We start from the raw sequence: 12,946 nt of genomic DNA on the forward strand, positions 1-12,946 counted from the left end.
TCATAGGTAGCTAAGAGACAAATGGTTGCATTCTTTTGAGTTTCTGATTAGGCTTTCCAAAGGAGGCAATCAGTTATGCATTTATCTCAGTGAGCAGAGGGGTAACTGAATAGGATGGGAGGCAGGTTTCCCGTAAGCCGTTCCCAGCTTGACTTTTCCCTTTAGCTTAGTGATTTTGGGGGTCCGAGATATTTTCCTTTCACACATATTTAAGAGTCTACTTTGTGTTTACTAAATACAGTATCATGGGAGCATGGGATGGGGGTGAGGGTTGAAAAATTACCTATTGAGTACAGTGGTCACTATTTGGGTGCTGGGTACACCAAAAGGCCAGACTTCACCACTACGCACTATATACGTGTAATAAATCTACACTTGTACCCCCTCAATCTATTTAATTTTTAAAATTAAAATAAATAAATACATTTAGTGTCAATCTGGAGTCTGAGAAACAATACCAAGAAACTGAAGCTCAGTTGCGCATGCCCTGAGCCTGTCAGGGTGGAGTGCCACCCGCTTATGTGATTTCTTTATTTTAGGGCCAACTCTGTGACGTGGAATCCACACAAGATGATGGGAGTCCCTTTGCAGTGCTCTGCTCTCCTGGTTAGAGAAGAGGTATGTCTCTCTTGACTCTGTGTCCCAGTCCGTGCGTGGGCTTTGACTGTCTTTATGCGGTTGACTTTCTCTGGAAATGTCAAGATCACCGGGTCTTCTCTATGGTCCTACTCACATTCCCCAGAGAGCCCTTTCTAGATTCCTGTCTGCAGGGTGAAGGTCTGGTGCCTAACAGGGAAGAAAGGATAAGAGGACCTCAAATTTCAGAACATAAACTTTGACCTAATCTCCATGTTTTCAGTATGATACCCCTTTCCTCAACTGTTCCTGCATTCCTCCAATCCAGAGACCCTCTATGTCACTCTCCCAAAAAATTAAATTTCCAGGTTTTTTTTCTGGAATCTGAGAGGAGATCATTTTTCCTATATAACAAATATACATGATATAGGATTAAGGGTGGTGGTAGGATCCAGATACATAACATGTATATGTATGTGTGCATGTTCTGATTACAGTCAGATGATTAATCTGTAATCTCTGATTACAGATGATTACAGTCTATCTATTTAATATTTAAAGCCATGTTCAAAGTGTAAGGAAGCTGCATCCTTATTAACCAGAAAAGAGAAGCAGCATCAATGAGCACTTTCATGAATGAAACCATCTTGAAACCATCTTGAAAGATGGTTCTGTTCACCAGGCCTAGGACCATTCTCAGTAGGTGAGCACTGTTGGTCAAGGCCACTACATCTGCCTTCCGTGACGCCAGGCCGGACTCATAGTTCCTCACTCCCACATTTATTTTGTTGATGAAACCCAAATAAGGAGCTTCAGATGATCCCCATTCAATTTTATCTTCTTAGCATTAATAAAGCAACCCCAGATTAAAAGAAATTTTAAATGTTGATCTTCATTTACTTTTTTTTTCTTTTTGAGACAGAGTCTCATTCTGTCACCCAGGCTGGAGTGCAATGGTGCGATCTTGGCACACTGCGATCTCTGCCTCCTGAGTTCAAGCGATTCTCATATCTCAGCCTCCCAAGTAGCTGGGAATACAGGCACCCGCCACCACACCTGGCTAATTTTTGTGGTTTTAGTAGAGACAGGGTTTTCACATGTTGGCCAGGCTGGTCAAGAGCTCCTGGCCTCAAGTGATCCGCCCACCTCAGCCTTTCAAAGTGCTGGGATCACAGGCATGAGCTACCATGCCCAGCCAAATATCTATCTTCATTTACTTAAAAATATTTTGCTTTGTTCCTAGTTATACAGTTAATACATTATTTTAGAAAGTTGAGGCAGAACAGAAAATATAAATAAATTTAGAGTCACCTCAAATTTGTGTAACTTAGGGATAACCATTATTACCATTTTTAATATTTTCTCCCACAATTTTTTCTAGAAATAAATATATTTAAAAAGTATAAATAAATATATATTTATAATAAAGTTGCTATCATCTACCTCATATACCTCATATATACATGTTGATTCTTCTTTATATTTTACATTATATTGTGAGCATTATCTTCCAAAACCTGATTTTAATGGCCTCATATTATTCTATCACATAATTCAATGAACAATATCTCTATGGTTAAAATATTAACCAATGTTTTACAGAGTCACTTGATAGAATCCTTAAACATATACCTTTGATCACATTCCTGATTATTTTCTCAAAGTAGACTCCTCAATGTGGGATTGCTGGGTCAAAGAGTGTTATTACTTCTGTGGTTCTTAATACCTCCTGTTGTCAACTTCAAATTTACACAGCACGCCTTCTGTGTCTTCATCAGTAATAAAAATATGGACACAGGATTGAAGACAGCAACTTCCCCTCAAAATGAGATGAATGCATTGGAAAATATCCTTTTGGACTGGTTTTTCATCAGTTAAAAATCCAGTCCAATGTATTATCATCTGCCCCAGCTCATGCAGGGCATGAGACCTCAACTATAATTACTTCAAAGGAGAAAATAAATTTTTGTTATTTAGAATTCAGCCAGATGTTTTGACAGTGGCTCCCATCATGTCCTTACAGACCAAAAGGGAAATGCGAGCCGGAGGAAAATAGAAAGATTTGGAACTGATTAGATGACTGCATTGGAAGGATCTACTGACTGGCAATTTGATGTTACCCAGGATAGAGCCTATGGCTTGGTACCTAACCTGTAGCATTCGAAATATTCACGGACTGTTTGAGTAAAACATAGAAGCTTATTAATGTTTCAGATGAGAGGAGACTGGGAGGTAGAGTAAATGTGTGTAGGAATGGAATCAGAATACAAGATGATTTTTACAGACTGGAGCAGTAAGCCACATCCAAAAAGGGACACTGTTATTGGAGACCATTGTAAGGCTGTGCTCTTAGGTCCATGTATACCGTGGCTGTATTTTGATTGGACAAGGAAGGCTTGTTTCTACAGCTAAATTGTTGGACTTGTGAAAAAGGCAAAGGATATCAGCTCTACAGGGTCAACAACGAGTCAAGAGAAAAATGCCACACAAAATACATTAATGAGTTACAGCAAGTGGAATTTCAGCATGAGAAGGTGGTGGTCTCCCACCCTCCTCTAGTTAAACCACACCTGCCATGCTCTGCTTAGCTTGGTACCAAATTGTCCATGGGGTTCCATCAAGCTAGAGCCCAAACTGTGGGGACCATTTGGTAAACGTGGAAGAGGGATGATTGAAATAGCTAAAGATGTTTAGCCTAGAGAGGAAAAGAAAAGAAAAGGGCTGAAGGGAGGATGGCAGCCTTCACCATTTAAAGGACTCTCAAATGGAAGAGATTTGGAAATGATTAGATGACTGCATCAGAAGGACCTACCGACTGGCAATTTGATGTTACCGTTGAGGCTGTGGGGAGCTGGTTTAGTAACACCAGGTGGTAGAGATTTGACAGCAAAATCAGAACATCTGACTTGGGTTCAATAAAAGGAATACTTCTAAAAATTAAGCTGTCCAACAATAGGAATAAGTTAATAAGGGGAGGAGATTAAATAGAGAGATTGGACAGCCACTTATTAGTAAGGGTGTAGAAATGATTCCTTTATTGAGGAGGAATAGAGTAAACGAGCTCTAAATTCCCTTACAAATCCAAGACTTTATGATGCTCTGACAGCATTTGTTTATTGGCATCCAAGGAATAATGCTGTTCCATAAGATGGTAATAAGAGTTCCCCAATAAGAGAGTTCTCAGTTTTAAAAAGGCTGGGATATATTGGTTTAGAGTTAAAAACAACTTATGTTATTTCAGGGCTTACTGGGGCCCTTAATATGCTGATAATTATTGCAGTATCTAAGAAGAAAGACTAGATGATATCGAGTTTCCTAAATTTATTTGAGCACGGGAATCTCTTTATGTACAGCAACTATTAATGTGTTTTAATGTGTTTTAAATAGTTTGGGACAGGATGGTCTATAACTTTTTCATGGCTCAGAACCAGGATATCATCTCACTAAGGCCTTCTGTAGGGAAAACAGCATCACTTTTGCTTGTCATGTTGTACAGTAATGAGACTGCGGCTGTTCAGCTTTTTTTTTTTTTTTTTTTTTTTGAGACGGGGTCTCTTTCTCTGTCGCCTAGGCTGAAGTGCAGTGATGTGATCTTGGCTCACTGCAACCTCCACCTCCTGGGTTCAAGCGATTCTCCTGCCTCAGCCACCCCAGTAGCTGGAACTACAGGCACCCACCACCGCCCAGCTAATTTTTTGTATTTTTAGTAGAGATGGGGTTTCACCGTGTTAGCCAGGATGGTTTCAATCTCCTGACCTTGTGATCCACCCGCCTCGGCCTCCCAAAGTGCTGGGATTACAGGCATGAGCCACCGCACCCGGCCATCCAGGTTTTTTAGGGCTCATGTGTTTTTGAGTTGTTTTCTTTATCACAGTAGGAATAGGTCTGATCCATTCAGCATTCCACACTCTCTGAGGTGGTCTTCCTTAGTATTGATGGCACGAAGGTGTGAGCTTGCATGGCCTGAGGAATAATGGTACAAAGTTTCTGTGACCATGAAACCAAATAAAAGTGAGTGTTGCAAATTTTCACCTTATTGGTCTTCAAGTGAATTTTCTTTTTTGAGTTCAGTATATTTCTACTGATCTAATACAAATACATCGTATTTAATTTTTCTTATTCTGAAAAATAATGAAAGGATTCCAATATATGTGAAGCCTAAACTACAAGGTAGAGTCCAGTTCTGTTGTCTACCATTTCAGCACTCCGTCTTTCAAAACCAAATTAAAATTGTAGTTGCATTGCATTGTGTTTTAGTGTGGACAGTTTTCAGAAGTGTTCTCAGTTTTAACTTCAACTAAGTGATGACACTTTAGTCTTGTCTTCTTTTGTCGTGAGTCACAAAAGAAACAAAACCAAATGCCAAAGCTTTTGTAAAATCACAATTAGACAGAAGAGAACAAAATAGTCAAAGGCTTCCAGTGTTTCATGACAAATTGAAACACGGGGTTTTTAGTGAAGAGACTGTCGATACTATTTTAGTCGGAAAACATGATTCAGTCACTATTCTCTGGAATAATTCAATCACTTTGCCACCCATTTCCATAGTAAGGTTACAGTGCCAGGGCAAATGAATGGCCATTGACGATGAAACTTTCCACTTATCTATCTCAAGGAACTGAGTATGCGAATGCAGGACTGAAGCTCTGACCACTCTTGAGAGAGGAATATGACATTTGAAAGATTGGTTATTTAAATTCACCTCAAAATTGCAATATGTGGGTTTTTTTTTTTTTTAGATTTTAGCATATAAAAATGATAGCAATGAGCTGCCTTAAAAGCTATGATTTCCAAAGGGAGCTCAAACTCCCTAACAGCTAAATGATAAAGTACTTGAACTAGATATGGATGGAAATACTGGAAGAACCACACTAATAATATTTCACAAAACCAAAGAGTTTCCAAAATATTTTAATCATGACAAAACCAGAATAGTAGGATATTCTCCCAAAGAAGGGGAACATTTAAATATAAATATATGCTCTGGTTGTGATTTTTATTTATCAGTTGATTTTTATAAATGCCTTCTCTTAAAAGGGAGAGTAAAAGTATAAATGTGTCCTTGCTAACCTCCGTGACATTTGACCCTGAGCCATTGATCCCACAGAGTTGACCATTACAACAACCTAGACACTCCTGTCCAGAATTGCCCCCATTCTTTTTTTTAAAATTGATTCTTACTGTTTTCTTTCTCTAAGATATGCAATGTCTCTTACTTCTTTTTTCTTATTAATTTTTACCAATATAAATCTAATAAGTAGTCAGTAGAATTTCCTAAATTTTCTCTTCTCTCTTGTAGGGATTGATGCAGAATTGCAACCAAATGCATGCCTCCTACCTCTTTCAGCAAGATAAACATTATGACCTGTCCTATGACACTGGAGACAAGGCCTTACAGTGCGGACGCCACGTTGATGTTTTTAAACTATGGCTGATGTGGAGGGCAAAGGTGAGTATGTATGGACCAGCTAAATGTCAACTAAAAACAGAACCTTTATCTGGTGACCCCATTATGAAATGTCAAAAAAGTGATTTCCAAATTGAAATTTCCTTACCCAAGATTTGCTTTCTTTAAACTTGCGTCTAAATACCTTCATTTGACATGAGGAAAAATATAGTCAAATCCATTGTTTGTTTCTTTTCTAGCCAAATTGATTCAAATGCTCACTCATCTGGAAAACAAATCCATTTTGCTTTATATAGCAGAACACCTTGAATTTTAACAGGTGTTTATTGTTATTGTTGTTGGCTTTTGTCTGCTAACTTGGTTTTTACCCAGTGATTGATCACCTGGGTAGGTGAATGCAATCTGAAAGTATAGGTCTGGAGAACAAAAAAGAAAAAGTAAAAAGCCCACCATGATAGCTTATTTTTTGACATTTCAAGGGATAACCTCTAGTTACAAAGCTTTTTATTTCCCCCTAATCTCCCAAAATACCTAATCACCTCCTTTTATGTAGATTCTGAGTTTCCCTCTGAATTTAGCTGTAGGTGATCCCTCCTTTTTTCAGCAAGGAAAACTCACTAACTAACAGTGTGCAGGACTTGCTTAGACTTAATTGTAGCTTTCCAGGAGCCTACATTTATGTTTAAATGTAAGCAGGCTGGATAGGTCAAAGATTTTATTTTTAATTTTGACCAGATTCTTAACTTAAAGGTCACAAATTAGTGCCTGCCCATCCGGCTTCATTTGTCTCCTGTAGGAGATAAATAGACAGAGCCAGCTGTATATACTATAGAAACTCCAATGCAAAAAGAGAGTTCGAGGAAACCTGACATAAGAAAGTGAGAAAGGGGGCGATTAAAGGTGTCAACCTTAATAACAGAGAGAGTCTCTCTAAGAGAAAAGATGTTGATTTGGAAATAAAGCATTGCAATAGGAATACATGTGCCATAGTAAACTCTATGCACATTCAAAGGAGGTAAAGGAAGGCAAAAGTTTTTAAAGGAAGAAATGAGGAAGATTACATAATTGTTTTGAGATAAATATCCTTGGCTACAAAGATCAATAACAAGGGTGATGCCAGTCCGAGGCTGGATAGGCAATTGCTAGGCAGATGTCCTTGCAGAAGTATTTTTTTGTATGTAAGGTTGTGGTGGCCTTTGAGCAAGGTTGCCATTTTTGCAGTCTTATGTGACAGTTTTTGTTATCTGGTATACAAGGCATGAGAACCCTCTCTTCATGGTTTTCCCTGGCTCTATCTATCAGGATTTTCTTAGCATTAGTGACTCCATTTTGATTCTAACAACATTCACAAGGGAAATCTGGGATACCATGAGGTCCTTTATGCTTGGTGGAGTGGATATACATTTGGCTCTAAGGTGTGTAAATAGCCTACTTAAAGAGGTAACATGCTCAGTCCCATAAGAAAAAGCAAATAACTTGGTCAGCAGGAGGGAAGTATACCAGGATAAGACCAGTGAATGGGTTCTTCCACAAGTCTGTGTAAAAAGGTAGGAACCATGTCCACGGCAATGCATTCCTTATGCTTTTGTTTATAATTTTTTTAAAGTAACCTAAATTACTTTAAGCAGTTTAGATGATGGGATTCTTAACAAGAAAAAGAGGGAGTTTTCGAGTGAAGCAATGTGACCCACAAATATTTTATGGAATCTCCTTTAAGTCCATTCTGGCAAAAAGATGCAGTTTAAACAGAAAGATGGTCTTGCTTAAAGAAGAAATAACTCTTTAGTGGTTTCCAAGGATGGCTGGACTGTACATCCTTCAGGGAAGCCTCCTTAATACTGTTTACTCCAGCTGAACTTTTTACATGTTGCTAAATATTAGGCAGCTACAAGAAGCTAAATATCAGGAGCTTTACATGAAGTGAAGCTCCACTGTGTTGCCTGGTAATGGTGGGGTGACGGGCCCCCTTCCTCTTTTGAAAATTGACAGCCCAACAAGGACAGGTATCTGGTCCCCACCACCTAGTGGGAGACTCATTCTGCTAGCAATGACACTTTCATTTGGAAGAAAAACCCAAAGCAGTCAAGAATGTAAAGTATTGATGTACCTCCAAGCAGCTTTAAAATGAGCAGGGTTTTCATTTCATTGATTGGTGGGAATTACAAAATGATGAATGTAAATATCAGGTAGCAAGCTGAGGAAACCTTGATCTCTGAATATTGTGCCAAGTTCTCTCTTACTTCAAGTATCATTCTTTGTGGCTTTTTTCCCCTGTGGTGTTTTTATTACGGTAATGATCATCAGTGATATTTATAGGAAAACGTTTCTCTCATGGTTCATCAGTTTCTGCTGCTCCCTTTCCATCTGAAGCCTCCTCTCCAGCAGGGGCAGCACAGTTTCTTAGAGAAATAATATGGAGGGCATCAGGTGTGAATCGAACAGCAGGACCAGATGAAGCCCAAAATAAAAGCAAGAGCCCCATGAAGGCACCAGGGAAGGGGATGAAAAGAGCAAATCACAGCCACTGTGTTACTTATTCTTTTACTTACTTGTGGAAACACCGCAAGTATCTAGACATCTAGCCGCAAAAACTTCCATTTTGTTTTTCAATCTAAACCTTTGTGAGTTTTTTTTTGAAAAACGAAATGATAATCATTATTAAAGTAATAAGCTAAGTCCTACAATCTAGATCAAAGGTGAGGAAAATTGTACTCTCACAGCAAAGCTCTCTCTCTAGCCACACTGGCCAAGGAAGAAGTCATCCTCTTCCCGCAAGAAGAGCCATGAAAGAGTTGGCTATGATGTTGAATCTTGCCTCCCCACAGGAATGAGGAAACAATCTGGAAAAGATTAAGGAGGAGAAGGAGGAAGAACATAGCATTAATTCACTAAACCCTCTGTTGTCAGACATGCCTGGAGAATTCGGTGTTTTCCACATTTTCTCCTAAGATAAACCCCATGAGAAATAGCCTAAGTATAAATTATTCTTTGAACTAATCTGCTAATGACTAATGGAGCTAAATGCACTGATGACAGCCATCATATTAAGTCCAAATTAACTTGATTAGAACCAATTTATGCAAAAAATAAGACCCCTGATTTAGGTTGCTAAGCGGCATACTAGCTGGTTAAGATATGGATTTTTATTATCATCAGCAAAGGCCCAGTGCCTACCGTTGACTCTCCTCTTACGGAGTTGGCCTTTCATTTTGTCTGCATTTTATTAAATAATCCTAGGACCTAATGATTATTTCCCAATGTTGACAGATTTCTACGGTGGCTAAAACTCAGTAGCTAACAAAAATAAGTAAATAAACTTAAAATTACATCTCCCCCCCACCTTTTTTTTTTTTTTTTTGAAATGGAGTCTTGCTCTGTTGCCCAGGCTGGAGTGCAGTGGCGTGATCTCAGCTCACTGCAGCCTCCATCTCCCAGGTTCAAGCGATTCTCCTACATTCCCTTTTCAGGCCTGCAGGAATAACTTCATTTATAACAACCAAGGTTTCATAGCAAATCTCTGTGTTTGTATGTAGTCATACAAATAGTCAGTTTTCCTTGTGGTTTTTTTATGATTAGCTTTTCTAATTAAAAATGTGGATAACAGAGGGACTGGCAAATGGCTGTGAAAAAAAATACCAGGAAAAAAATATTAAAGGGAAATGGACATCTGGCATCCTTTGCTGAAAATGAATGTTTACTTTCTCTCTAAAATATTAATTTATTTTAACAAGTAGATATTCAGCATCTATTATCGTGTCTAGTACTGAATGGGATAAGAAGGCTCTCATTTTCCAGACAAGATAAGATAAATGCACAGAAATCCATCATAAAAGACAGATTAGGACTGATCACAAAAGAAATCCAGACACATCTGGGGAATTTAAAGGACGGAGAGCTCATTCCTGGTTTAAGAATCAAGATGATTCACAAAGAGATGACCTTTGAGATAGGACTTGAACAGGATAGGTAGAAGAAGTAGGATTTCACCCAGCAGTGCTGTGAGAAGGCCATTCCACGGAGTGGTTGAGCAGGAGTTCAGTGCATATTATGAAAGTGAGGGAAAGTCTAATTGACTGAAGGGCGACTTGGGAGCTATGTTCCAGGTGAAAAGTAACAGAGCCTGAACTAGGGTGATAGCAGCAAAAATTGAGATAACAGCAAGGGATTCGGTAGTTATTTCAAAAGCACTGTCTCTGGGGCCTGTGAATGTTTATAAAAGCATTTCAAGAAGTGGAGAATGATCATGACCAGCTCTCAAGATGTCAAACCCCAAGACCACATAGAGGCAGCAGCTGAACACTTGGATGGTGAGATTGCTGAAGTATTTAATGAATGAAAGAATTTTGAAGAATCTCCTAAAAGCCTTCAAAACCTTGAAAATAAAATGTGGATCTTAATCCCATAAATATTCAATATGAACGGGAGGCACCCAGGGCACACTAGAGTTTTCTGTGTCATTCCCCATGTATATCTTTAGCCCCCAACTAAAGGGGCAGTCACATGGCCCATGATCATCCCCATAGCAAGGTCCCAGACCAGGGGAACCAGAGGTCTTTAGTAATCCCATTGCTGTTGCAGTGCAAACTCTTCTTCATGGGAAATCAGAGAGGCATCATCATTCCCATCTGATCAGAGAGTTGGCCAAAGCCATTCATCTGGACAGGGTCAGAGGCAAGCTGGTCATGCCATATCCTAGATCAGATATGCAAAAGTTTAAACCCAACTCCAGACTGGTCCAAAGGATCCAGGTTGGAGAAGAGCAATTAGCTTCCCTCACTTCTACCTACAGTCCATCCCAAGTGAACCCAAACTGTCAGGTCATTCCAAACCAATTATAATCTCCTTAGCACCCATAGATGCAGAGAGCTCCTGGTATGGGTGCTGGCCAAGCATCAGGCATCAGCCCAAGCTCTTCTTGGGGAGGCATCAGGAACCCATCAGCCTCCTTGAGCCGATTACCTGGGGGAGCAGTCTCCAAAGAAGTGAATTTCTGAACCCATTTGATATCTCCAGGGCAGCTTGTTCTTAAACCTGCTTCAGATGTCACAAGTCACTGGGCTATGTTGGGCCCCCTTAGCTGAGATGATGTGATCTTGTATGAAACAGGCAAGTGGGCCCATCTCATCTCCATTACAATTGCTTTCTCTAGGTTCTCTGCTGGAGAAGTTACTGGTAGGCAGGTTCAAAGTGCTTCTGAGATGAGCACTGGCTTTTACTCTTAAGCTTTCTCCATCAGCACCCAGTAAACACCCAAGGAGATAAGAGGAAAGCCATTTTGAAAAGTAACTCTCTTGTGTGTCCCGATGTCAGTTAAACAGCTCCAGTCCAAGACTGTTGTGTTGGTTTTCCCAAGTCTGGATTCAGAGCTTCCAGAGCCAGAAACTAAAAGAAATCAGTGATAATGTTCACCCATTACAGACACGTGAGTCATTTATCTGCCCCCAAAGGAGAACTGTACAGAGCTCGACAGGCTAACAAAGCATCTGGGTGCTCCCTAAAATTCCTGCATCCATTTGTTCAATGAAGTCAGTGAGCACCTACCCAATTTTTTCTGTATCAGGTACACTGGCAGACAAAGATGGGCTCTGGGAATGGAAAATGTGCACGTTGGAGGGGAACTAAGCAGGCATTCTGGGGGGTCTCTGGTGATGCTTTTTATCTGCAGGAAGAGAGTAGCTCAGCCCTCCTGTTATTAATGACTTCCATGATTATTCCTATGAATAGCAGAGGCACATTTTCCTCTTGAGTAGTCAAACTAATTGCCTGGGGAATGGAGGCTCTGGAAGAAAAGGAGTTCCGTGTAGAAAGCAGTAATGAAAGGGAACAAAAGCACCTGACGGGGAGAGCATTGAAGAGAAAATAGCGCTGAAAAAGCCTTTGGAAACAGCCTTGTGTTGAGAAAGTGCCAGACGGGGCTAAGACAGAGACGGCAGGATGACGGTCAGTCTCCAGGGAAATCGCTTCCTCCGCACTCTTAGCCTGCTTAATGAGCTGTGTCCTTCTCTTACCTAGGGGACTACCGGGTTTGAAGCGCATGTTGATAAATGTTTGGAGTTGGCAGAGTATTTATACAACATCATAAAAAACCGAGAAGGATATGAGATGGTGTTTGATGGGAAGGTATGTATTTGGATTTCTACAATCTCAGAAAGTTTAGTCAATTCCAACCCTCATCACTGATATGATGTAAATGATGTGCTGTCCAGGTAAGTGGGACGATTACAGAGGGGAGCAGTGGATGACGGGGTAGCTATTCCAAGCTGGAATAAAGACGAAACTCTCAAAGTGGTCCATATAACGTTGTCAAAATCATGCCCTCCAATGGCAATTCCTGATTGAAAAGTGGGAATTGTGTTCTGAACCTGCTGAATACATCGATTTGAAATGTTCTTGGAATTTTCAAAATTGCCAGCCTGGGCCAAATGTGAATCTTCCTTTCCTCTTTGTAGCCTCAGCACACAAATGTCTGCTTCTGGTACATTCCTCCAAGCTTGCGTACTCTGGAAGACAATGAAGAGAGAATGAGTCGCCTCTCGAAGGTCAGTGCTCCAAGCTCCTCTGATACATGTGTGTATTGAGCCTTTCATGTGCACATCTTCTTTATGACATATGCCTGTGGCCTTAGGAGACAGCCTACCTGGGTACATGGGCCCATTCCCGTCTGTGGACTCCTACAGAGCCAGGACATATAGAGCCTGATATATGCAGACATTTTTCTTCTTTTTTTTTTTTTTTTTTTTTTTGAGATGGAGTCTCACTGTGTCTTCCAGGTTGCAGTGCAGTGGCGTGATCTCAGCTCACTGCATCCTCCACCTCCCGGGTTCAAGCGATTCTCCTGCCTCAGCCTCCCGAGTAGCTGGGAATACAGGCACTCACCACCACGCCCAGACAATTTTTGTATTTTTAGTAGAGATGGGGTTTCAATATGTTGGCCAGGCTGGTCTCGAACTCCTGACCTCAGGT

General features: G+C 40.3%; 1 protein-coding gene across 2 annotated transcripts in view; it reads left to right on the plus strand.

The window, feature by feature from the left end:
• The window catches only part of GAD2 (glutamate decarboxylase 2), an 88,187-nt gene that overhangs the window by 64,098 nt on the left and 11,143 nt on the right, over positions 1-12,946 (plus strand). For both annotated transcript variants that reach the window (NM_000818.3, NM_001134366.2), the window contains exons 12-15: positions 540-618; positions 5,876-6,025; positions 11,996-12,103; positions 12,433-12,522. In NM_000818.3, coding sequence (NP_000809.1) covers positions 540-618; positions 5,876-6,025; positions 11,996-12,103; positions 12,433-12,522 — 427 coding nt within the window. The remainder of the gene's footprint in view (positions 1-539; positions 619-5,875; positions 6,026-11,995; positions 12,104-12,432; positions 12,523-12,946) is intronic.

Source organism: Homo sapiens, chromosome 10 (assembly GCF_000001405.40).
Source record: "Homo sapiens chromosome 10, GRCh38.p14 Primary Assembly".
Classification (NCBI taxonomy): Eukaryota; Metazoa; Chordata; class Mammalia; order Primates; family Hominidae; genus Homo; species Homo sapiens.